The following is a 26,088-nucleotide window of genomic DNA, read 5'->3' on the forward strand; positions in this document are numbered from 1 at the left end:
TGCCCGCCCTGCCCTCCTCAGCAGCTTGACTCTCTTGGTTAATCACATTGATGATATTCACTGGATCTTCCCGGTTGCACAGATGGTTACGTTGCTAAGCAACCGCTGGGTTCCCAGTCGGAACACACAGGAATCTGCTGCCCTGATTTAGAACACAGACACATATACACACTCACACCCAACTCCCCACCAGGTCACCACTGTCTACCCTGCCTTTTAAATCACATTCATGTAGAAATGTGAGAATTAAAAAAAATCAAGGTAATTGAGACACTCAGAGAGGTGCTCTTATTTCATCAGTCAGTACAAGTTAATTGGGGTGAGGTAAGTAAAGAAGCAAGTGGCTTTTTTACTGTTTACAAATTCAATTTGGCTTTTTTTTTTTTGGAGACGGGGTCATGCAGCAATCATAGCTCACTGCAGCCTCAACCTCCTCAAGTGATCCTCCTGCATCAGCCTCTGGCATAGCTAGAGTAATCTGCTCTTTAACTGTAGCTGAACATGGGCCAGGGGCTGGTCAGTGATGCTGATTAGGCATGCTGGTTCTGTCCCTCCCATGAGCCGCCTGTCAAGGGCCTGCTGGGCCTGGCCAGCACTGAGGCTGGACTTGGAGCCTGTCAACATATGTTCTCTCCAGCACACCGCACGCCTCTGCATTTTAGTGATGAGCCCCCATCTTGCATGAAAATAGCACTTATTTCCAAACTGCTTTCTTATTTTTTCCATCTTTACAGCCTCCTGATAAGCAGGGCATTGAAAAGATAGAACCGGAGGCAGCAAGTCCTTACCTAGCTTCCCCGAGGCCTGGATGTGGGGACTGGAGCCCATATTGCCCAGCTGTGCCATGTGTTATGTTGTGTCTCAGCAGCTGCCAGGCCTCCGCCTCACCCCCAGCTCTGAGTGCCATGAGGGGGTCCTGGTCTAGTTTTAGTCCTTGAGGTCTGGCCCAGAACAGGGGTGCGATAAATAATTGTTGACTGAAGTGTTGATGGATAATATATCCTTTTCCCAGATCAGAAAGTTAAGTGACTTGACCGAGTTACAGAGCCAGACCTGGGAGTGGGGCAGGCAGCCTGAGGCTCCGCGGCAGTTCCACCAGGAATCCAGGTCTTCAGGCCAGGAGGTTCGCAGCTAAGATCAAGAAGGTGCCCACCTCTTGGGAAGAGAGATTAACCCTGTGATATGCTTTTGCCAAAAGGGCCTCATGTCCAAAATGGGGAGGAAGATTCTGACTTGAGATTTGCCTGTTGATGGGCAAGGACGAGGCACTCCCATTCATCCTTGCCCAACGCCCGCAAGTACCAGCCCCGATGGACGCACATCCTGACTAGTGCTCCCAGCCACCCACAGTCGCATTCACTGATGTCACATTCACTTTTCCATCAGGGCCTGGAAACCCTCAAACCACCTAGTGGTCCTGAGATGCTGAAAACACCGTGAGGCAGCTTCTAGTACCAAGTCAGTTTTGAAGCAGTCTGTGCTCTGGGACCAGCTGGGCAGAGATAACTTTTTAACAACCCAAAGTTATTTGAAAATCAAGAGGCTGTCAGGATAATACTGCAGAGAGCCCAGTAGGGACTGGAGGCCTTGGGAAGGGGAGGCAGGTACCGTGAGGCAGCAGGCGCAGGGGCCTCGGGAGGAAAACTCGCCTGAGCTCACATCCCAGGTAGCCTGAACTCCCTCAGGGGCCTCTGGGACCTGGAGTTTCACAGGACAAATCTCCCTGAAGCCCATCCATCCCATGGGGAAGCGAAGGCCAATCTCGAGGTCCCTTCTGGACCCCACCCACTGCAAAGGGCTGGCGACCTAGAGGGGACTCTGGGGAACTCTTATAGGCCATGCACCCTAACAGAAGCCATGGGGGACCCCCACAAGCACACACTCACTGCTCTGTTGCCCCCACATACAGAGCAAATGTGAAGCTGACCTCTGCCATGGAAGCGATGGTAAAGAACATCAGATTTATCTGGCTTTACTATCGGCGCCTGGTATGTGTCAGTATCTCTCAATAAAGCTGGAGGGCACATGACACCTGGGGCTCCTGGGTCATAGCAAGTTTGTTTTGGGTCAAAGCATATAAGTCAGGCAAGCTGCTGTGTTCTCCTGGGTTCCTTAGGCACTTAGCCCTTGAGTCTCCCTGCTTGTCTCCAGAATGCAGGCCCTACACTCCCACAGCAGCCTCCCTGTGCCACCAGTGCATTCACCTGATCACACAGCTGCCTGGGCCATCTTCAGGAAACAAAGTCTGGTCATGCCAAGACTTTGCTGAAGCCCTCTGAAGGCAGCCATATCTGGAACTCCATTCAGCTCATGCCCATTACCTGCAAGCCTCTTGTGACCTGGCCCTGCCCAGCCCTCCTCATCTGGCCATGGTTTCATGAGCACAGAAGGCACTTTCTGGCCTCAGGGCCTTGTACTCTCTGTCCCGTGCCTGGGATGCTCCACTCCTGGTTTTCTGCAAGGTTGGCTCCTTTTTAAATTTCTGGTCATTCAAATGTCATTTCCTTGCAGAGTGTCAGTCCCTTTCTGCACATGCTCACTGTAACCTGCTAGGGCATCCTAGTCCGCCCTTTCTGCATGTGGTCAGGGTTAACCTGCTGGTGTCCCGTGGCTCTCTTCTGCACGTGGTTATTTTTACCTGCTGGTGCATCACAGCCCCTTTCTGCACTGGTCACTAACCTATTAGCATGTTGTGGCTCCTTTGTGGCATTTGTCACAGTTTGGGTTTGTCTTATTATTTGTTGTCCATTTCTCCCCTCGAGAATTTGAGCTCCCCAAAGGGAGGGGCATCTGGAATGTTTTCTTGTTCAGTGATAAATCCTGGGCACAGCATGGCACCTGGCACATAAAGGCAATCCCTAACTTTGTTGAGTGAATGATTAGTGACGGAATTGCTGCCCCATTCTGAGGGTCCAGGCATCCTTGTTGGTGTATTCCTCGTTACTCTCTAGCCTCAGCCTGGCACTAGGCTTATAGAAAGTAGCTCAGTGAACTCCTGACTGGTGAATTCAGGAGACAGTGGGGCTGGGCCATGATTCCAAGTCTGAGTGTCCAGTCAGTCTCCTAGGCCTGCACCTGAGGAGCTTCCGGCTCTGAGCTTTTGCAGCCCCAGGCTCCTGTGCTGGGACCCCCAGCGTGCAGCACTGTCAGGCCTCTGGGCTGGCAGCTGTTGTCTTGGCATTCTGCTGAGGAGGGACCACTGACTCTTCACAGAGACACACTCACTCTTCCTTCCCCAAACCAGTTTCCTTCACTTTGATCCAGTTTGAGATCAAAGATGAGACTACCTCCTGGAATAATCAGGCCAGGTGGTCCTGGAACACTTTTCTTAGAACTGACGCCTCCATTCTTGGCAGGGTGTTTTCAGATCACCCTGGGAGATGCCTCTAATATGATGTACTTTTTTCTCTTTTAACATTATGTACTAAAGAGAACTACTTCATCATCTTCCTTTCGTCGGCGTATTTGTAATTAAGACGCCTGCAAATTCCATGTCATCCTTGATTTCAGGGAAGAGCTTTGAGCATCAGAGACTCATTCACGGCTAAAGTTAAATCAAACATACCCAAGGAAAACAAGGATCTAGTTGTTTAATCTTCAGCTGCTTCCTTTGATCCCATCCTGGATTCTTGCAAGAAGTGAAAAGAAAGGAAGAATCCAAGGATGAGAGGAACTTTAAAAGGGTCAAGTTCAGCTGAGGTTTCTGCCCATTTCATGAATGAACATTTGAGGAACAGCTCTAAAAATTGTCCCTTTCTTGGGCAGTCAAAACTTGTTTCTATGGAAATGGGATTTTTACACCACTGCTTATCTGTCATTTCAAAAAGCATGGCTGGTTTTCAATTTTCCCTAGAAAAACTCATTTCTTTTTCCTCGGTAGGAATTCCCTTCATCCAATTTCGTGCCTCATTTTGCCCAGGGCCATTCACAGCTCTTAATTTTTAGATGCATTTAAAGGTGGTGGTGAGTCGCCCAGGCGGTGAACTCAGGTGAGAGTTCTTAAGGCTCCCTCTGATCCTCAGATGATCAAATGCCCAGGGCCCATCAGTGAAGACCACGCCCAGCAAAGGAGACATGCTGAGAGATAGGTCTGTGGCTGAGAGGAGACAGCCCTCACGGCAAGGGGGACAGCTCTGGTGCCCTGGCAACTCCGTCCTGGACCCCCCCCCAGTGGTGGTTCTGACTGCCCCCCACTTGTCCTTGTCAGTGTGTCCCGTGGCCGTGGCGCACCTCCATGGGGGCTTTGTCCCAAGTGCTCAGCCTGGTGAGGTTATTAGATCCGAGAAGCAAGGGCGAGGGAGAGGATTGAGCCTAGTTTAGTGCCTACAGTGAATGCTCTTCATCTTTGTCCTCTGGCCTCAGGCCATCCTGTTTCTAGTCCAACTCTGAGTGTAAAGTGTAACCCTTGGCCGGGAGCAAGAAGGGAACAGACATGGCCTCTGGGAGCTTGGCAGTGCCAGTGAACCCCTAGTGACTAAGCCTGCTGTTATCGGCCGCAGGGTGACCTCCTAGTGACTAAGCCTGCTATTAGCCTCTTGCTGACCAAAGAGCTTGGCCTAAGGACAGTCAGAGGCCTGAGAGCAGCCCCGCCCGCGGCAGTCTCAGCCTTGCAGGTGTTCGGTTTGCCAGTTGGTCATTCCTTCCAAGGCAGTCCCTGGCTCCCACAAGGTGAGGAGTCAAACCCTGAGCCAGCTCCATGGGTTGGAGGTCTAGTTCCGCGTCTTCCTGTGAAGTAGCCTCGGCTCAGTAGCTTCACCGCCCTGCCTTCTGCTTCCTTGTTCACACAGTGGGAAAAATTACAGGCCCTGGCTCAGGGGTGCCGTGGAATGTAGTGCCTGGCGTTTGGTGAATGCTTTGTGTCATAGGTGTGGGCTCCTGTTCTTACTGTAAGAGAGCCGGGCTATAAATAACAGGACAGCTGGGAGGCGGCCGTTCTTGGCACTCACGCGTGGGTCGGCGGTGGTATGCAGCTGCTCTCCTTCAGAGTACAGCAGGATTCTGCCCTATGAAGTCTGCTTTGAGCCAGCCCCCTCTCAGGGTCCCCCTGGAGAAATGCAGGGCAGAGAAACCCTAGAGACGCTGCAAGTTGGGGTCCCACTCCCCTGTGGGCACCCCAGGAGCTGGCCCAGCCTGAAGACGAGTAGAGGGGATGAGCTGTCCAGCTGCCACTCAGGGAGAGGTCTCCATGGACGGGGTCCCTGGACTCCCCGAGTGGAGTGCTCAGGGGAGCACAGCTTGGTGCAGGATGCCCTGCTGACCTGAACAGTGGATTCCTTCCTCCAGCCCTAGAGCCATTCCCTTCCAGCTCCTTCCTTACTGCAGACATTGCTTACAAGGGGAAGTGAGAGTCAGGAAACCCCAGCCTGTGTCCCAGCTCTGCCTCCTGCTGGCTGTGTATGTGGACAAGCCACTTATCCTCTGAAAAATGGGTGTGACTCATACCTGCTCCCCAGTTGTCATAAAAATTACCCACCCATGAGAAAGTGTTTTGTAAAAATGTGAAACACTAAGATAAGGCCTCTTTAATTATTGCTTCCACATAGAGTAATGACGGAAGAGCCACATTAGTATGTAATGGGGAAGGGTTAAACTAGTCAGTTTTTCAGATTTTTGGCCCAGTGCAGTGACTCATGCCTGCAATCCCAGCACTTTGGGAGGCTGAGGTGAGTGGTTCGTTTGAGCCCAGGAGTTCGAGACCAGCCTGGGACACATGGTGAGACCTCATCTCTACCAAAAAAAAAAAAAAAAAAAAAAAAAATAGCTGGGTGTGGTGGCATGCGTCTATTGTCCTAGCTACTCAGGAGGCTAGGTGAGGTGTGAGGATTGCTTAAGCCCAGGAGGTCTAGGCTGCAAGGCTGCAATGAGCCGTGATCACGTCACAGCACTCCAGCCTGAGCGGCAAAGCAACACCCTTTCTCAAAATTCCTGGAGGCTGTTGAGTGTACTTGTAGGTGTATACGTACATAATTCTTAGACTTTCTCCTTGACTGGAGGCACTGTCTGAATGTCTGCAGTGTAACTGTGCTTCTCTATACCAATGCCAGCCTATCGATACTCCTTTAGAGTAATAGATGACATCCAAGTCATTTATTTACATCCACACTGAAAAATAACTGGGAAAATTGGGGCTCTCAGTCTGCATCTTGAGCCCCAGCTGTATGTGATGTCACTGATTAATGCACTGAGTGGCTTAAATCAAATGCCTGCCCAGCAGGGGTATGGAGAGAGGCTTCATTAGTCAAAATGATGAAACCCAAGATCAAATATCAGTGGGAGAGACTGAAGATGCTGCCACCTGGGGAACAGCAAAATGGTGCACACCACAGGGAAGGAGAACCAAGAACCATAAGCCATCACGGGAGCCAATGGGGCTCCCCAAAGCCACAGACTGCTGAGCCCTGATACGGTTTGGATCTGTGTTCCCACCCAAATCTCATATGTGAAATTGTAGTCTCCAGTGTTGGAGGAGGTGCCTGGTGGGAGGTGATCAGATCATGGTGGGGGAGTTCTCATGAACGGTTTAGCACCATCTTCCCTGGCTACTGTACATAGTGAGCTCTCATGAGATCAGGTTGTTTAAATAGACTGTGGTACCTCCCCCGACTCCCTCTTGCTCCCCCTTTGGTGATCACTGAAAGTTTCTTGAGGCTTCTCCAGAAGCCAAGCAGAAGCCAACATCATGCTTCCCATATAGCCTGCAGAACTCGAGCCAATTAAACCTCATTTTTTTATAAATTACCCAGTCTCAGCTATTTCTTTATAGCAGTGCAAGAATGATCAAATATAGGCTCCTTCCAGACAGCCTCAGATAGAGCCCTCTGGTTGCGTCTAGAAATGACTCCTGACTTATTCTACGTTCAGTTCCAATGGAAATAATGTAAACCCTGCACAATACTGTGAAGGGCTGACATGGACACAGCTAGAGGCTTCTGCCCCTGGGACAGGATGGGCTGGCAGGGAAGAATGTACTGCACTTAGAGTTCACCAGTACAGCCATGACCCTGTGCCTCCCAAGCCCGCAAACCTGGTAGTGATGGGAGGGGAAGAAGAACCCACACGTGTATTCAGACACCTGCACCCACCGCCCACCCACTCGCTGCCCTCTTGGGGCAGCTAGTCTCCTGCAACCAACTCGAAGCTTGGTTTGGGCTTTGGCGAGGCTCTAAACGGCCTTCTAGGTGGTCCTGGCAGAGATCTGGAGGGCACAGAAGAGAGAGTAGAGCTTCTCTTTGGAAGCCAAGGTGAGGAGGGCTTCCAGCAACCTCATTTCATTACAAGTCTTTATGAAGGAGTGCTGTGTCCCACCAGGATGGCTGTGATCATTACTCGGCTATCCCGGAGTCCAGGAGCATGAGAAAAAGAAGTGTTACTGCATTAACAGACGTGGCCCACACAGGCTTTACGAATTCCCCTCTTCGTGTCCGCTGGGGCTGCTACCCGAGGGCCTTTCCTGGTCAGCAGGGACAGTGCACGCAGAGCGGTGTGCATGTGCACCAACCGCGGACTTACCTTGGAGCGAGGCTGGCGGACTTGGCTCCCATTGGTGAATCCAGTCCTTCCCCCGGCTTTGCCAATTTCTCTCGGTTCATTTGCTGTAGGATAGAGTTCAATTCACTAATAACGTTTGCCTTTGGGCCTGAGAGAATCGGGCTTTTGATCTCTGTGACGTCGCCCCACAACTTGGAGGTCCTTGGCTGGAGAACCTTGGCCATCCCAGGCTGGGCACTGCCCGGCGGGGGCGGGGGAGCGGGCGGGGGGATAACAAAGCTATCTACATCTTCTTCCACGAGCGCGTCTTGATAAAGTGCATTGCTTTTGTGAATGATGGGCTTCATTTTTGGCTTAGGAGGTACTGGGGGTTTGTCAACCATAAATGCTTGCCCATCTGCATAGACTGTGCAGGTGTCCACATTCTCTCCACCTTCGGAAGACAGGGTGGAGATGCTAGACACGGTGGAGATAGTGCTGGTCGTCTCGAGGTGGTGGTCGCTGCTACTCCGGCTGTCCACCTCCTCGATCCCAGAGTCGGCGACGGCGTCAAAGCTTTCAGGGGGTGGCAGGAATGAGGCAGGCAGACAGTTTGAAAGACTGGCTGGCTTCTTGCTGTCTGCAGAGTTGGTTGGTTGGCTGGAGTTCAACGAAGGGGACTGAGGGGTGTCGCTTTTCTTCTGCTTCACTAAGTCTGAGAGAGCCGGGACAGAAGCTGCCCGGTCATCGGGGATATCAAAACTATTTGCAAATTCCAGGGGAGGAGGCAATGGCTCTGTAAAAATAAAATCCTCATCCAAGTCCACGGATGCCAGAGGGGGAGGAGGGATGCGGAATGGCAAAATCACCGCCTCTTCCATGGAGCCCACCGCGACGATGGTTCTGCCGGGCACGGTGGTGGGCTCGGGGGCAGCGGAGATCTGTAAAGCACCTTCGGTTTCGGAAACACCTTCTGGCACCTCGGACGGCGAGCTGTCTGGCTTCATCTCCACCTCTGCCTTCTCGTCCTCTTCCTGCAGGGCGTTGTCCAGCTTAGTGGCGTCCACGGTGTGCACCATCAGCAGGCCAGCCGACTTCTGCTGGGACGTGTCCATGATGTCGATCAGCATGTTCTTCTTGTCATCGCCTTTCCGGTCTCGGCCCAGGTCGGTCTCGTACTTGTTCTCCGTCTCCTGCCGCCTCAGGGGTCCCCGGGTGTTCTGCCTGGTGACCGTAGGGAAGCCGGCATCCAGGCTGGGCCGCATTTTGGTATCAATGTAAAGAGGTTTGTTGAGGTCGGCCTTGGGGGCCTCCCCTTTGGGTCCCTGTTGAGACTCCTTCATGGCTCGGTCCCTTGCGGAGAGTGCCAGGGCCAGCGGGGAGCTGGGATCAAGCAGCCGCCCTGTGAGTGGGTGGACATAATTCCCGGGGCCGGCTGTGCCGCTGCTCGCGGAGGGCACTGCTGGGCTGCTCTCGGGCCCCTGGGCTTTGGACGTGGAATTCAGCGGCCTCCCAGCCTCACCCGGAGCACTGGCCTCGGCGCCACCCACGAAATGGTTTTCGGGCTCCCTGGGCGTGGCACTCGGCATGGGGGATGACAGCTGCTCAGCGCTGTCCTCGTCAGCAAAATCCCCCTCCTCGGGGAACATGGAGGGCCGCGTCCTGGGGGCGGGTGGCCCCAGGCCCACATCCTCATCCCCCAGGTCTGTGGAGAGGAAGGCCGGGGAGTTCCTCCTGGCTTCCAGCCGCTTCTCACGGTCGCGGACGGCTCCGGCGATGGCGGCGGCAAAGGGGCTGCTGACGGTCAGGCTTTCGTCAGGCCGCAGCTGGCTCGGTGGCTCCGGGGCCTGGGGGTCGATCTCCATGCTGCTGCCCTGGCTGCTCTTGCCGCTGCTGCTGGTGGACGGCTCCTTCACGATGATGGTCGGGATAGGGATGGAGCACGTCTTCTCGGGGCTGTCCTCCACGTTGGACTGCTTCACCAGCATCCCCTTCCGCCTGGCGGGCTTGGCGGGGACGTAGACGGCTTTGCTGGCGATCTTCCCCACCTCTGAGTATGGGTTTTCTGGCATCTGGCCTCTCTTGTTGCGGAAGTTGGCTTGCGGGCCGGCATTCCGACTGTAGAGGTCTTCAGAGTCCAAGGAGTAGCGGTCCAGCTCTCTCCTGAAGTACATCCCCTTCTCCCTCATCATGGTGGCCACGGTGTCGGACCTGGTGGCGGGGGACACCTTGGCGGCAGAATTCTGATTGAACGCAGGCTTAATCGTCCCGTAGACTCTTGGAGTTGGGGACTTGGGGCAGTTGTAAGTGGTTGGGGAAGGTGGTGGTGGGGACGGGGGCACAGACTGCGGTGGAGGGGGGATGTCCTCAGAGGTGTCCGGCATGGACAGGCTTCTGGTGAACTTCAGCATTGGAGGAGCCAGAAACTGCCGCTCTTCCTCTGTTATTCCTACAAGCAGAAAACAGGTTTAGCTTTAAGTCACAATAGCAACAAAGCCTAAGTTCCTAGGAACGTGCGATACGCTACATCTCCACAAACTCACAAATTCAGATGATGAACCGGATGTTCAGGAAACACAGCACAAGCCACGATGCCGAGTGGTTAGTCACATGGCCCGTCGTGAGCCAAAGGACAAGAAAGGGAAGAACAGAAAGGCACTGGGGATGCTGTGAGTACGCTGCTGCTGTGGGGCCTCCAGGCACAGGCTGCAGCAGGGGAGCTGTGTGAGGCCAGGGCAGGAGGGCCCCTGACGCTGAGCCGTGTGCCAGTCTGCAGGCCAAGTGGGCAGCTCGCCTTGGGGCTGCTTGTGCGTGTGTGTGTGCGCTTACGTGTGCTTGTGCTGGCATTGTGGCATTGTGCTTGGGGCGGGGTTGGCTAGACCAGGAGGTATCCTTCCACCATGCCCCTTCAGGCATGGTAAGGGCTCCTGGGGGTGTTTTTAGGGCAGGGGTCTAAGGCTGTCACCTGTGCATCTGAAATGAGAGCAAAGGGTTGCAGGTATTGCTGTGTTTATGTGGCAAGGATGGTGTGCAGTCCACCGTCCAGATGGCACTTGAGCCCCACGGCTGCCCAGATGTACAGGGAGGCCTCTGCCACCCTGAGCGAAGCCATCTGCCCACGGTTGGCTCTGTGCGTGCTGGGAGGAGGTGCTTTTCTTCCAGGGTCATGTGAATCCTTTCATTGCCTGACTTCACTGGGCCCCACTAAGGGTTCTATGTGTCCTCGAGCTCTCTGGACCTTCAGAGAGATGGATGGCTGGGGAATTGCAGCTCAGAGGAGGGGCCATGTGGGCTCTAGAGCCTGCCCCTGAGGGGAGGGAGCCCAGGTTCCTTTAAAGTCCTGGACTGAGCCAGGAATAGGATCCTGAGCCAGGCCTCAGTGAGCCCCTTCTGGGTCCCAGCGGCAGCCCTGAAAGTGGTCCTGCCAAGACCCTTTGGAGCAGGGGCTGAGAGCCCAGTGGACCACCATAATCGCAACTAACCAGGGTCCAAGTGTGGCTGACCTGGCACAAAGTATGAGTTGACCTAATGAAAATATGTGGATGTTGAATGTGTGGGGATGCAGCTGAGGTCCTACGACAGCCAGCAGGGTGGCCTGAGGGTTCTCTGGGTGTGTTGCCTAGGTGTGACTTTACAGACTGTTCAACAGCTGAAGACACAGACACGTCAACAGGAGCACTTGGAGAAGGGAAGCGAGACACGCACACACACCGACAGACGCGTGGCACAGGGATTTCATGTTGGGAGCATGCAGGTTTTCAAAGAGGTAGCAAAATAAATTACTTGAAATGAAAAAAAGTCCTAGGACAAACTACAATAATTTATTCCAATGAAAACTTCCATTCGATAAGGGTATTCCAAATTTAACATACTCCTTGTGGGAGGACATTTTGGCATTGCAAAGATGGCTCGTTCAAAGTGTTCTCCATTGACCAGTCACTCTGAGTTGGCTGTCTGGCAATTCTGTTCCCAAGGAGTACTAATTTAAGAATACACCTTATAAAGTAAACTGGGTTACATTCAGATTACAGATTCCAAACCGTAAGGTTCACTAACCTGATAGAAAGATTCTGCTGTCTGACAGGAGGAAATCAGTTGTTATTAACCAGTAACCGCAAGACAAATACGCAGCTTTCCCTGAGTTTGCTGGTGCAGGGGGAGCTTTAAGCACAGCAGACACCACCTCCACGGCCACTTACTGCCTAGTGACTGCCTACAGTTATCCACCTGAGACTCACAAGCACGCTGCGCTTTTGCACAGCAGCCCAGAGGCATTTCCAGAACACACAGGACAGTGCCCCTGGGGTGGGCTGGGCAGACCAGAGTCCCAGGGTTGCCTCCACAACTCTCACAGGGCAAGGGCCTTAGCTTCTACCAGAATTGACACAGTAAAGGCAATGCTGAATTATCTCACAAAGGGACTGTCTCAAAGGGTCAAGTGTGACCTTGTCTCAAGGTCAAGTGTACCTTTGCCTGCAACAGGGTCAATAGGAATAATTGTGACATTAAGAAGAAAGGAAGGCAGTTTTCTGCAACACACAGTACATTATTTCATTTCGAGACCTGACCCAACCACCCTTGGAAGTACATCTGCTGAGCTCATACTCCAGGCCTGGTGGTGGCTGGGGAATGCAGGGAACCCACTTACCCTTCCCACCCTGAGCAGGGCAGGGTGGGGGAGGGGGGTTGGCTCGCACCACCCCGCCCACCCTCCCGCTTTACCCTGCTGGAATTATCACAGATAACTGGGCTTCAAGATGACAGAAGCCACCCTAGATTTTGTGTCCTTCAGGGGGGATGAGTTTCATGCCACTCAGATGTTCCAATGGCTCCCTAGTGGGCAAGGCCAGGTTCCCACCCTCTGGTGGGTGGGCTGGCAGGGCCTTGCTGGGGTGGGACGCCAAGGCAACTGTGAGAGGCCCAGGGCTCAGAATTCCTGAGGGGCCTAAGGCTGTGTTTGAAAGCCCAGGGGCAACTTCTGTGGGGGAGTGCCACACTTCTTACCTATTGATTTCTGCCTTCGCATCGTACCTCGAGGGATGCCCAGAAACGGGGCTTTTGGGCTCCCAGGAACAGTGGGCGTCATCACGGCGATTCCTTGGCGTTCGTACACAGACTGCAAACCAGAGAGCCTAGGGTGAGACGCAGCCCTGGCCAGCCCCCACCCACGGTCACAGGGCCCAGAGACCACAAGGGAACTTCCGTCACTGTGGCTTCCCCAAGCTGCTTCTGGAGCCACCTAAAGTCTCCAGTGGGGCTGATGAGAACCACAGCATTGAGGACCCAGGAAGGTCCCTCTCTAGGTGCCTTTCCTATTCGCTGCAGCTGCTATTGGCCTTTGGCCCTGTTAGGATGGCAGCATGCCCTGTTCCATGGAGATGTGGTCTGCTGCAACACCATTTGCCAGAGCAGCTGGACAGATACGTCTCTCTGAGAGGGGGGCCAGGCTGGATGTCCTGTGGGAAAGGGCACAGCGTGGTGGGCAGTGGGGTCTGGCCTGGGTCCATACCCCACTCCCCATGTGCCATGTGACCATCAAGTCCTTACATAGGAGCCACCATCTCCTCTTTCATAAAATGGGCTCCTGACACCAGCCCCACAGTGTGTGCAAAGGCCAACCAGGTATTGTGGTGGTGTGTGGGTGAGCATGATGTGCCAGCTAGCTTAAGCAAGCCCTGGAGCTGCTCAGGGGCACAGCCTGGAGTCTGCAGCAGTGAGCTGTCCCCAGCTTCCTCCCTCTTCAGCCTGTCCCAGGAGGAGCCTAGAGCTCCCCTCCTCCCCTCCACCTTGGAAGCAGAGTCCTGGTGCTGCCAACTCTTTCGCTTCCCCAGGCTGTTGTTTTGTCTGCAAAACTGAGATGGCTCAGGGCCCCAAACCTGTAGTGTTGAAGGCCAACCCGGGAAAATATCAGATGCGGACGCTCAATGGAAATATTCGTGTGCAAGCTTTTATTGCTCCAGCTTTGAGATGCAGTTTCCATGTGTCCACAGCCTCTGTTTGTCTCACTCTATGGCCCTGAGGCTGAGGAGCAAAGTGGGACCCTTTGGGAGATCAAGGGCACCTTGTCTCAGACACCCCCCCAACTTGGTGGGGCATGTGGGTGCCACGAAGGACTGGGAACAAAGTGGGAGGCAAGGACCGGCAGGCAGGGCCTGGAGGGGAAGTCCCCTTGTGGAGTTCAGAGGTGATGGGAGGAGGTGTGAGGGCAGATATTGTAACTGTAATTATTAACAGTTGTTTAATGCACATTACAGAAAAGCCTTGTGGTAAATTTATAATATTTATAGGTGTTATTGTTCAAGAAAAAGCTAGACATAGGCAGTTTGATACTGGTTCAAAGAGAATACTAAGGTAAGCAATCAGGACAGGTAGGCAGTGCTAGAATCTGACATCAGGTTCAGATGGCTGCCTCTGCACAATGGAGAAGCAATCCAAGGGTCCAGGAGGCCACGCCTTGTTCAGGACGTGCCTGGGGGAATCAGCAGCCTCTGCCCCAGGCCCTTTTCCAGCTGTGTGCCCTCCTGACTGCCTAGGGAAGGTGACCATGGCACGGGCAGCCTGCTCTGAGCCAGGCACCCACTGCGCCCAGCAGCCACTGAAGCCCTTCATGGCACTTCTGGCTCCGAGGACAAGTGTTGCCCAGGATCTCGGAGAGTGTGGGGGACTGCCACATGGGATGTGGGACAGACGGCCTCTTCCACACCGGAGCATTTCTGTGCTCTGGGTGGACCAGGAGGCAAGAGCCCCTCTGTCTGAAGAGTGTGTCAAGGCCCCTTACTTCCATGTGCTCACGGGTCCTCAGCCAAGTATGACAGGACACCTTCGAGGCTCAGGGCACTGAGTGAGCGGTAAGGGCAGGGCTTGGATGCAGCCTGCTCTGTCCCACCACTGTGAGTCTGCACAGACCCGGCTCTTTGTCCTGTGGCCACTTAGATTTGGGCCCCACCTCTGGACAGCACGAACCAGACATGAAAGCGTGTGCACCTCAGCTACTGAGACAGCCCACCCACTTCCTGGGCACCGTCGGCCCCCGCCCTCGTGGTCCCAAGGTACGGCCACTCACGTTCATGTCTGAGCCCGCCGGGAAGCACCGGCTGCTGGGCCGCTGCTTGATGGTCGCCACCCTCGGTTCCACAGCCATGTTCTCAGCAGCGCGGGAGGGCTTGGAGGCCGGGACTATCTCCTCGGGTTTATCTGCAATAGAACCGTGAGGATTGGAGCAGCAACACCAGTGGGGGAAGCTGGGTGTAGATAGGAAAGCGCACAGGTGCAGCAGCCACTCCAACATCCAAAACTGTGCAGGGGGCATTTGTTGCTGCTGTGAGGAGCATGCGTGTGCCTCTGCCACATGCATTCCCACTGGGGCATGGGCTCCTTCCCAGGACCTTGCCCTCGGAGGCATGCACGAGGCATGGACATAGAAGACCCTCCACAGCTCGGCCACCTTCTTAAGTGCCCAGCCCCCAAGGGCTCTGAAGCTTTTTGGGACATTTCTGTTTTTTGGGACATTTCTGTGTTTTTTTTTTTTTTTTTTTTTTTTTTGAGACAGTCTCTTGCTCTGTTGCCCAGGCTGGAGTGCAGTGGTGCAATCTTGGCTCACTGCAACCTCCGCCTCCCAGGTTTAAGCAATTCTCTTGCGTCAGCCTCAAGAGTAGCTGGGATTACAGGCACCTGCCACTACGCCCAGCTAATTTTTGTATTTTTAGTAGAGACGGAGTTTCACCATGTTGGCCAGGCTGATCTTGAACTCCTGGCCTCAAGTGATCCACCGGCCTTGGCCTCCCAAAGTGCTGGGATTACAGCCATTTGGGCCATTTCTTTAGTGGAATCACTTGATTCTTTCTAATGGGATTTATTCTTGTGAGGGTTAACTAAACTGACTTTTTGAAGTTTTTTTTTTTGTTTGTTTTTGTTTTTTTTTTTGAAGAGACTCAGACATATGGTTCCTTTGTAACTGTGATTGCCAAGACATGAGGATCTGCCACCCAAGGCAGCGTGGGTGTTTCAGAGGCCAGGGTGCTCGTGGCCCCAGGCGTTAGTAAGTGTTGCAGAGGGAAGGTCTCTGTTTATTTTCCCCAATGCAGAACCTTCCCATTTCCTTTAAAAAAAAAAAAAAAAAAGAAAACCAAAGTTTAGTTATAAGGGATCCTTAGCAATTAACAAAAGTTTTTTAAAGAGGACATTTGCAGCACATTTTTTTTTTTTTTTTTACTTGAAAACTGAAGCACATCCCAGAGCTCTCCTGACGCCTTAGCTTCATCTCAGGGTGTTTGGGATCAGGCATAAGGGTGTGTCTAAGGCTGTTTAAATGCAAGGGCCCTGTGCCACTGAGACCTGGAGAGCTGGTCTTCCAGTCGCGATGTGCATTCTGGAAAAGGTGACCCCAGCTGTACTTCTAAGATGTCACTGGGTTGGGACAAAGCCAGTGTGGTATCTGGTGGGTGTACCCCATTCTGAGCCTTTGAGACAGCACTGGCCTTACTCCCTGGGGAGAAGCAGGCCATCTGGAACATTCTGCCTTCTGGCCACCCTAAGCCCACTCTTGGGGTCTGGTGGCTCCCATGAAGTGTATGCTAGGGCCTTGCCCAGACTTTGAGCCATGAGGCTATTGTGCAAGTTAGAGCTGAGCAGAGTGCAGGGAGGAAGGCCCCCATCTCCAAATTGTTCTTCAAGCTGAGGCGGAAGTTACCTGTCATGGCAGCTTCTCACGGGGAGCTGACCCACGGGCAAAGCTCCCAGAGCCACGGCACGGATCAGGGTTGTCCAACACAAAGGCATCAGGCTCCTGACAAAGGCAGCCCAGACCAGAGGTCCCCACAAGAGGAAGTTTGGGGAGAGGAAATGGGGGTGTGCTGGGGACACTGAGCCAGGCGCCCTGTGATGGCCCCTCAACCTTGCAGAGCAGCTGAGACGTACACAACTCTGACACCTATGGACACTCTCACAGTAGAGTCTGCATGAGGGGCCTGGTTCCAGGCCTGTGTTCCAGACCCTTGGGCCAGTCCTGCCCCCACCGGGCCAGAACCTCAGGGCAGTCTATACTTTTTTTTCTTTTCTTTAAGATGGACTCTCACTGTCACCTGGGCTGCTTGGCTCACTGCAACCTCCACCTCCTGGGTTCAAGCAATTCTCGTGCCTCAGCCTCCTGAGTAGCTGGGATTACAGGCGAGCACCACCATGCCCGGCTAATTTTTGTATTTTTAGTAGAGACGGGGTTTCACCATGTTGGCCAGGCTGGTCTCAGACTCCTGACCTCAAGTGATGTGCCCGCCTTGGCCTCCCAAAGTGCTGGGATTACAGGTGTGAGCCACCACACCCAGCCATACACTTTTAGTCTTCAAACAAGGATGGGGAAGAAAAGGCAGGAGAATGTGCAGCAGAGGCCATATGGCTGTCACGCCCAGCACACTTACCATGGGGCCCTTCAGGGAGGTGTTTGCCGACCCCTGGCCTGGACCACGTTTCCAGTTGTCAGCAAAATGCCAAGTGTTCACGCAAAGCAAGAAAGCCCTTGCCCCATAGTGTCCGGGCAGCCAAATCTCCCCCCACAGCACTCTCTCCCTTCATGACCAAGTCCAGCTGACCAGGCCTGCAGGCTCACTGGGCCCCAATTCTGCGTCCCTGCTCATGCATTCTCTCCTGTTATTCCTGGACCCACAAGCCCTGCTGGCTCTTCGATGAGCCTGATGCCTCCTTGGGGACCTTGTCATTCCCCCAGTGGATGCTAAGCATCTGCTTCTCAGGGAACTGGTCAGGCACGGTAGGAAACACCCGATTCTCATCTCACTTGGCAGTGGGGACATCCTGGCTGTGACCTGTGACCCCAGTCCAGAGCCGTGCTGTCCTCACCTGCGTTCAAGGCCCTCATCCCAGCTCCTCCGGCTGCAGCAGGTGCTGCATGGCTGCCTCATCTCACATTCCCTTTGCTGGGGTCCCTGTCAACCTCCCTGGGCTGCACGGGCTGGGTCCACCTGCCATGGTCCCAGCAATTTGCTTCCTCCAAGGAGCCTTTCCCCTCCCAGGGCTGGGCTGGGACTCCTTGGATGGCTGGGGTCGAATTGGTTTCTGTGCCGGCCTCTGTTCCCTGGCCTCGCCGATCAGCTGGGCTTCTCCCCCTTGACTTGGGACCAGGTGATGCTTGGGTGATCTCCTCTGGCCGGCTGTGATGTGCAACTCCAGCTTGGTCTATCCCTGGAAATGGGGGCGCTAGGCAGTGGCTGTTCTTTGCCTCAAGTGAGATGTGGCCGCTGGTGGCCCCCAGAGTATTTTTCTCCAATGAAACGGGGGTTGAGATGTGTCTCCTGCACCAGGGAGTTATGTCCCATAGCTGTGGTGAGCCAGGGCACTGCGGGGTGGGGATACCCTGGGACCTGCTTCCTGACAGTGCTGGCCCGGGCCCCTCCTCTGACCCCAGTGGAGCGTGAGGCCTGAGCGGGGTGCAGCAGCATGTACCTCCATGAACATGACCCAGAAGGGATGCCACCAAGTTAGGGGAAGAGCAGCTGGAGCCCAACAAAACATCCCACGGGGGCATTCCAGGTGGCGAGCTCTGGGGGCAGCCGCAGAATCCAGCCCACCTGATACTGTACACAGGTGCAGACAGGGAAGGGTGCCTTCCTGGCTGCCACCTGCCTGTGCTCAGACCTGCACCTGTGGAGATGCAGGAAGGCCCATCCGAGCCAGAAACGCCTGGGCATCCCTCCAGGCCTGACTTCCAGGCTATGGTAAGCTCAGAGGCTAAGGTGGCAGCTGGGGCTGAATAGCGGAGGTGAGGGAAAGTCATCGGCGTTGAACATTGACAGGTGTCAGACCCAGAAGATGCAGGACGGCCGAGGCCCTGCAGGGGAAGGCCTGGGCGCAGGTGGGTGTGGGAAGGCTGTGGCCAGGCTCTGCTGTGCTGTTGGCCATGTCTGGGCACATCAAGGAAGGTGGGACTCTAGGGCATAACAGCTTTCCTGGGATTACAATTTAAATGAGCCAAATCTTCAAGAAGCTCCCGTTTCCAACTGGGCCCTTCCAGAAGCCATGTGTCTGTTTTTTATGTATTAACAAACCCCACAGCTGATGAGGCTGATTCATTTCCATCCACTGCACACTGAGGGTCTGCTGCCCGGCCTCCCTGGGGCACCGCCTCGACTTCTCACATTCCCAAAATGAACAGGCTGCAGGCTGCGATTTTAGGACCTCAGGGCCTGCGGCAGGCATCTTGTTAAATACACCTCATGTAACTGTGTGCCCAGGGTGAAGGAAAGGTGTCCTGGTCAATAATGACAGCCGTCCCTGAATCTGGTGGAAGTTCTGGGCCGATCATCCTGTTTCTCATCCTAATGAGAAGCTGGCTGTAGTAAAGGGATTGTTCCCATGTCGAAGGGAAAACATTTCAGGTCTGAGATGCGTAAGGCCATATGGGGGCAAACCATGGGACCAGGCGGGAGCTGGGGCTGGCGCTGGGGTCCCCCAAGCCTTGTGCCTGCCATGTGATGGGCTGCCCAGCCCTGGGCCCTGGTGGGCAACGGCTGCAGAAAGTTTGTTTGGAAATGGTTGGGGTCACCATTGGCATGGTTTGCCTCGTCCAGGAGAACCACGAGGCGGGGGTGGGGGCACCCTACCCATCATCACAGTCGCCACATCAGAGGGTGGGGCTGGTCATGTCATTGAAGGTGCATCCCTGAAACTGTGGCCACCTTGCCTGTGGACATCTGGTCTCTGTTTTAAACCTTTCCCTTCCTAATAACCCCAAAACAAATGTTCTTTTGAACTAGAGCATGTGAGAGCAGCCGGGCGTGTTGGGGTGGTAGGGTCAGGGGCTAGCATTCGTTTTTAAGTTAGAGTTAGTGTAATTCAAATGAAAAAGGAAAACCCTGCATTGGCTCCCCACAGGGGTGTGGGTCCCTCCTGGCCCTTGTCTCTTGGGGACGTGGCCAGTGGGATCATGCTGGCCTGACTTGCTCAGTCCTTATCTTGGAGATCTTGTTTACCGGGATATGGAGACTTTTCAGAAAAGCCACAGGACTGAGATTCCTGCTTCTCATTCTAGGCTCCTAAGGATTATGCTTAATTTATAAAAGCTCAGAACTAGGTCTTTATTCAGGGACTCTGGATGAAGGGGATTAGTGAATCTGGCCCCTGGCAGTCTTAGAATGAATTGTTCGGTGACAGAAAACAAACAAGCCTCAGACAGATTTGAAACTGTCAAATCCCAAAACACTCCAGTGAGGAGCTGATGAAGATGCCCCAGCAGTCACCCGCATTTCAGCCCTCTGAGCAAACGTGTGTTCTCTCTACTAGATACGTGATGCTGACCAGGCACAGGGAAAAGGGAGGGGAGGTAGGTTTGTCACCTGCCTGTTACCAGAGCCCCCCAGCCCATGAGCTGACTCTGGACCACGGGCTGACTTCAGTGCAGGTTCCCCTGATAGGGGGCAGGAAGCAGTGTGCCCTGTGCTAGAGAAATCTTGCCACTGCTCTGCATCCTCAGCAAATCACAAGGGAGTCACCAAATCGAGGAGTGACACGACCCCAGCGTCCATGCCGAGGCTGGGAGGCCCAGGACCACCCAGGCACCTGGTGGCTGAGTCTCCTGGAAAATAGGCTCTGCACTGAAGTGACACTAGGTCCACTGTCCAGCGAGTTCCTTTGCCTGTGGCCACACAATAGGCCCAGAGCCTGGGAGCCAGCCCCATTGAGGGGCAGAGTGCCCAGCTGTTTGCCTGTTGACTCTTCAGAACCTTCTGGGGGAAAGCAGCAGACCAGACCTGTGGAGGGCTGCATGGGGCTGCTCCACCTCTTCAGCTTTCCTGGGACCTGATTCATGGTCTGCTTCACATCCTCTGGCATGGTCCAGGGACCCTGTCAGTTCTCAACCACTGCTCTCTCCCCTTATGTGGGCTTGAAGTGGTCTGTCTACTTCTCTGGAGTTGCAGTGCTACTACATCCTGTCTCTGGGTGAGAGAGTACAAATGTCACTCCATTTCCAAAAGGAAAACACACACATCTGCAGCGCCAGATGTTAGAGGACAGAAGCCGCGTGTGTTAGAAGCAGCGGCTGTTGCCAGTTGGCCGGCCTCTTGGTTTAATCTTCCAAAGCGGCAGTGCAGGGTGGGAAGGGTGTGCTTGGACCCTGGTGGACTGGTCCTGGCCTGCAGGCTCTGAGTCACACACCTTCCAAGGGCTAGAGTCTGAAGGTACAGCCATAGGTGCCTGGTAGGGTGAAGGCCACAGTCCCCTTCATGTGCCCAGGGGCAGAGGCCCCACCCCAAATCCTGCCTGACAGCCGGCTTCTTCCTGAGCCCAGCACAGGGTCTGGGCACTAGGGCAGGTGCTCAGAGAACACTTAAAGACTAAACAAGGATTTTACAGATGGAGAACTGAAAACCTGGGATCACTAAGCAGGGTAAAGCCAGCGGGGACAGACCCGGGATTTGAGGTGCTTTGCCAGGGATGTTATGATAAATGACCATGCACGGGGGGCTTAAAACAATGGAAACGTATCCCTGCACAGTTCTGGAGGCTGGAAGTCCAAGGTCAGGCTCCTTCAGGGGTCTGGAGAGGATCAAATCCATGGTGTTTCTTGGCTTGTTCCTTCCTTCTTTACAAGGACACACCACTGGATTTAGGGCCCACCCGAGTCCAGCATGACCTCATCTTGATTAGATCTACAAGGATCCTATTTCCAAATAAGGTCCCATTCACAGAACTTTGGGGGTCACTTTTCAACCCAATACAACTGTAAAGGCCTGACTTTTGTTCCACATGGCCTTTCTGGAGTGTGACGAGTGCTTTTTCCGAGGCGAGGCCAGTCCTCCCAGAGACAGGTGGAGGCAGCACGAGGGGCCTGGAGCATTTGCCGTGCATCCACTATGTGCCCCGCACTTCGCATGTGCGCCATGGGATGCCCTCATGGCCCTAGAGGCAGGGGCTGTCAGCAACGCTCGGTGTCTTCAGTCCCCAGCTGGATCCCCCAGTGTGACCAGGCTGGGCCACGGCTGCTGGTCCCTTTGGGGTCTTCCTGCCCACACCCTTGCCCCCTGTTATATCTGGGGTTGAGGCTCTGGAAGCTCAAATTTGTAGCCAGTTTCTCTTGCTCAGACGGGAGGTGGATCTTCTGATGCCACCCTGGGGGAGGAGGGTGGTGTGGATGGGGCCAGGTCCCAGCAGGCCACAGGCGCCCACGGTGGCTCAGCCACCTGAGTCCCGAACTGTTCTCCCTGACAAGGGACTTCTGTTGTCCCACGCTGTTCTGGCAACTGGGTCCCTGGCAGCCATGGTGGGGCATCTTCCTCAGTTAGGTGATGAATAGAGGGCCATTCCCGTGAGCTGGGGTTTGGCCTTGGATTGAAGGGGTGTTCACACACAAACGTAATTGCACGACATAGAAAGAAGGGTATTCTGTACCCCGGGTGTCCACCACATCCTCGGCGCAGCAGTGGGGCCTAGAAAGCCCGCTGGGAGTTTTCTGGGCAGCTGTAGGATGCTGGTGCAAGCCCGGGGCTGCTGCAGAGAGGCCGCTGGGATGACACAGGTCGGGACAGTGGTGGTTCTGTGCCCACCTCACCCAATCTCATCTAACATGATTGGGACAGAGTTAAGATGTGCCTTAGGGCCAGGTGCTAGGCTCCTCCCAACTCCAAGGGATTAATTAAAAGCTGGGAGTGCTGCTTTTAATTGTTGGGGGAGCTGTGTCCAGCAGCAGGCGAGCAATACCCCCCGATGTGCTTGCTGCTGTGAAAGGGGGAACCTGAGTCTATCTGGGGCCTGCGGTCCGGCTGCCCACAGCCACAGTGACTGCCAGTCTCCCACTCCACACCAGCCCTGGGTGGGGAGGTGTAGCCAAAGGGCTCACACTGCTCCCTTCTCCTTCTAGTGCCCCACAGGGCACAGGGCAGCCTCTTGGGGAATGGGTGATTTCCGGGCCTTAAAGGGAGGCAGTTCCTGCCCACCACAAAGGGGTCCTGAGGGTCAGGAATGCAGCCAGAGGCTCTGCTCATCTGCAACCCCCCATCCAGGCAGCCCCAGCTGAGACCAAACAGGGGTCCGGCCAGCTTCACGGTCATGACGATGTGAACACAGGTCAGGGAAGAAACACAGGACACGCTGGGGAATCACAGACAGAAGCCAAGCAGAAAGAACAGACAGATGAATGTGCTCCAGGGCGGCAGGGCTCCTCGGGCAGGACCCAGCAGGAGAAGCCAACAAGGCTTTGCGACACATTTGAGACTTCACGGCATCACAAAGGATGTTTCTGTTCCACAGGGGGGTGATGGGCAGGGGGCTGAGACAGACACTGGGCCTCCCTTACCCTTCTTCTTCCGGACCGAGGCTTGCAAACAGAAAGGGGACCGCCATGAGCCACCAGGATGCAGCGCCCGCCCGCAGCCTACACTCGGGCCTTGTCAGCTCAGGGCGCCTCAGGAGCAGGCTGGGCCGGCAATGGGGCGGCAGGCAGGGGCTGTCTGGAACGCTGCGAACGCAGGCTGCGCTATCCATGGAGTGGCTTTCCCCAAACCTTGGCTGCCCGCACAACTCTGTCCTGTCTGCCCTGCTCGTTAACCTACTGCCTGGCAGTGGAAAGGGGCTTTCCTTCTTCCTCAGCACCCCTTGTCCCACCAGCACCCTGCCAAAGTAGGGAGGAGTTCTCAGAGCAGACATGAGCAGAGGTGGCGGGGCCAGCCTTTAGAGTGCACCTGTGGCCTTTCCTGCCTCATTCTGTTGTTTCTTGACTGAGCTGAGCTCTCAGGAGCACCCCTTGCAAAGATGAGAGCTGCTAGGCTTGTCCCTCTGGGGAGCCCCAGGACAGGCCTCTGTGGAGAGGGCCTGGAGGCTGGTCACCTCCTCCGTCGCCTGTGAGGCTGGGGCACGCGGGGCACTACTGGTTCTGGGTGGGTGGGGCAGCGCCACTGCAGGGCTGCTGTTTTGGACTGAGGCCTCATGCCCATCCTCAGACTCTAGCCCCAGAACCTCGTGAGAAGCGGCCTGGCCGGCCTCAGCGCCCTGGGCCGAGGAAGGATGACATCACTGCTGTGGCAGCACTTAGCACTTGCTAGACTCCTCTCGGGAAAGCTGCCTGTGCCAGAGTGCAGGGAGGACGGGGCCTGTGAGTGAGAGCACCAGCCAGGGCTTGGCTCTCAACCCCCCAGGCCAGCTGGACTGGACCGTGGGCCTTGGGCGGGGGCTCGTTTCTGCGCCCATGTAAGCTGCCTTCACCAGCTCCAATTTGTGCTCCAGTGGAGCAAGCGTTTCCACCTACATGCCATCTCTGTGTGTTTCAGAGCCACCCTCTTTCCAAAGGTGTCCCTGGCTCCATGGTGACTCCCCGGAACAAACAGGATCCTGCATGGCCAGCATGGCCCACGTGGCTGCTAGTCGCCCTTCCCCTGCCTACAAGATGGAGTCAGAGGGCCAGAGCCTCTCTCTGTTGCTTGCAGACCTTACACAAAGGTGCCGGGCGTTCCCTAAGCCTGCTGTGCAGACCAGACTGCTCTGCCAAGCCCACGCTATCTACACACAGATCCCCGGAGGATGGAGCCTTCTGGTCTGAGCCACGTGGGGAGCAGCTCACACAGGCCTCCGAGGCCTGGGCTGAGGTGGATGTCAGTGGGGGTGCCCTAGACAGCAGGGGGAGCTGCTTTGGGGACCCAGTGGGGCTGCTTACCTTTATCCACTAGTGAGAGGCCCAAAAATTCAAAACAAAACAATGTTAGATAAACAGAAAAGAGGAAAGGCAGGACTAGCAACAACGCCCCGCGAGGCTCCGAGGGAGGTGCACACATGGGGCTGCGGGGCATGCAGGGGCATTTCCTGATGCACGTCTGGGTACAGGGGCAGGAGGGGGGTAGCGAGCAAGCGTGGGGTCATGCACAGCCTGGTGCTTTGCAAAGGGCAGCTCAGGGACCGGCATGGTGACTGTACAGGGCTGGGCCGGGTGTGCGACTTACCGAGCTCCTCCAGCTCCGAGGTCATGGACTTGGAGCGCAGGGTGAGGGCTGTGGTCGGTGCCCGCTTTGGAGGCGGGGGAGCTGGAGGGCAGAGGAGAGATGGGTGTGAGACCCCAGCCCATGTTTCCAGATATGGGAATAAGGCTAGCAGTGGCCCTGTGGCTGGCAGGTGGGTCTCAGGCTGTTTGGCTGCGGTGGTCAGGGATTGTGCAGGTGTGCTTATGATGGGAAAGGACAGGTGCTCAGGAGGATCTTGCCATATCCCTGAACTGCAGTGCAGGCCCTCATGGGTGGGCCTGGGCAGGGGGAGGGAGGGGACAGGGCACTGAGTGGGAAGCCTGCGGAAGGGACGCCTGCTAGTGACTAAAAGGGCACTCCTGGTGGGACATGGATGATTCCGGCAGCGTGTGAGCCCCAAGTCATTGTCGTGGGCTCTGGCGGTAAATTCCAGCCTCACCCCTGTGCCTGGGCTCTCAGAAGTGTGGGATCAGCTGGAGAGAGGGCCCACTGCCCCCCAGCTGTCCTGCCCGCCCCCACCCCCCCCCCCCAGTAGGGCCCCAGGCTGGAGCTGGGCGATGTGGGGCATGTACCTTTCTTCCTGGCGGTGTCGTCGGGGTCCAGATTCCTGGTCACCGTGACCACCTTAAGGACCAGGTGATTCCCTCCCTGCCGGATCATGTTCACCACCTGCCTGTGGCCGACTTTGACAACATTCTCATTGTTAACCTGTGGGAAGGCGGAGAGGATGGCATCAGTGAGAGCCAGCGGAGAGGAAGACAGTTGGCACCCACCCAAGGCAGAGACATGTGGGCTCCTAAAAAGGGGGCAAATGCAGGGAAGCAAAGGGAGTGAGACCGTCATCTTTTTGGAAGCAAAGGTGCTTTTGGGGAAACCAGAATGAATGCTGCTGTGACTGTGGAGGTCACTTAACTGTGGCTCAGGAGGTTGGGGGAGGCCTTCCTCTGACACTGCAGCTCTCTGCTGAGTCCTCCACAGCTGCTGCAGAGGAAGGGCTGATTTCTATTTAACCTGAGCATCCTTAGGTGCTTACTTTTACAGGCCTGGGGCAATTTTCAGGGCCACCAAGAGACTGCATGTGAAGAGCCTGACAGGCGAGTTCCAGGGCTGGGCTGCAGTGCCAGGCTTTGCATCCTCACAGGAGGAGGAAACGTGGCGCTTAATTGCTTCTCATGTATTCTGGGAATGCACATCACACTGAAGCAGCCCCTTTCCTCCCACTCCCTCCCTCCCTGCTCTCCCGCTCCAGAGGCCTGGGAAGGCAGAAAAGCCTGGCCCAGCAGGGTGCTTACAAGAGTGGGGGCCCTGTCCCTGTGCTGGTCTGTACAACTAGCTGCCCCAGTGCTCCTGGGACGGTGAGTGGCAGGCTGGGGACCCCCAAGGCTGCCATGCTATGGCCACTGCCCTGCAGTTGAGGAACTCTTAGGAGCCGGTTACCTCCTGCCCTATTTGTCCTCACCATGGCAAATGCACCTGACACGGAAGTAGGAACGGACTCAGGGTGCCATCCCCCTGGCCCCTCTGCTATTCTCACCTCCCTGAGCAATGCTCAGCAGCAGATGGCCTTGGCCTCTGCCTCCCAGCCCCACGCTACTCCCAGAGGAAAACCCGAGTGATGGAGACTGGAACTGGGTGGGCGTCTGGGCTGACACTGCCCACCCTGGCTACT

General features: G+C 55.2%; 1 protein-coding gene across 32 annotated transcripts in view, besides 2 other annotated features; it reads right to left on the reverse strand.

Moving 5' to 3' along the window:
* The window catches only part of SHANK2 (SH3 and multiple ankyrin repeat domains 2), a 785,381-nt gene that overhangs the window by 9,951 nt on the left and 749,342 nt on the right, over positions 1–26,088 (reverse strand). For 15 of the 32 annotated variants that reach the window (NM_001441030.1, NM_001441032.1, NM_001441034.1 and 12 more), the window contains 5 exons: positions 24,992–25,127; positions 24,402–24,482; positions 14,531–14,661; positions 12,472–12,583; positions 7,510–9,916 (listed from right to left, as the gene is read on the reverse strand). In NM_001441030.1, coding sequence (NP_001427959.1) covers positions 7,510–9,916; positions 12,472–12,583; positions 14,531–14,661; positions 24,402–24,482; positions 24,992–25,127 — 2,867 coding nt within the window. Of the gene's footprint in view, positions 1–7,509; positions 9,917–11,523; positions 11,545–12,471; positions 12,584–14,530; positions 14,662–22,765; positions 22,787–24,118; positions 24,128–24,401; positions 24,483–24,991; positions 25,128–26,088 lie in introns of all 32 variants that reach the window. The other 17 variants (NM_012309.5, XM_017017388.2, NM_001379226.1 and 14 more) reach the window with 8 other exon arrangements.
* Positions 20,064–20,564: an enhancer, noted in NCBI's record as "H3K4me1 hESC enhancer chr11:70343973-70344473 (GRCh37/hg19 assembly coordinates)". NCBI's record gives its function as "activates a minimal SCP1, AML or CMV promoter by ChIP-STARR-seq in naive H9 embryonic stem cells {active_cell/tissue: H9 hESC(naive)}" and the evidence as "EXISTENCE:reporter gene assay evidence [ECO:0000049][PMID:30033119]".
* Positions 22,872–23,031: a silencer, noted in NCBI's record as "fragment chr11:70346781-70346940 (GRCh37/hg19 assembly coordinates)". NCBI's record gives its function as "represses an EF-1alpha promoter that drives an FKBP-Casp9 reporter gene in an ReSE screen in phorbol 12-myristate 13-acetate-treated (for megakaryocytic differentiation) K562 erythroleukemia cells {active_cell/tissue: K562(+PMA)}" and the evidence as "EXISTENCE:reporter gene assay evidence [ECO:0000049][PMID:32094911]".

This window comes from Homo sapiens, chromosome 11 (genome assembly GCF_000001405.40).
Source record: "Homo sapiens chromosome 11, GRCh38.p14 Primary Assembly".
Lineage (NCBI taxonomy): Eukaryota > Metazoa > Chordata > Mammalia > Primates > Hominidae > Homo > Homo sapiens.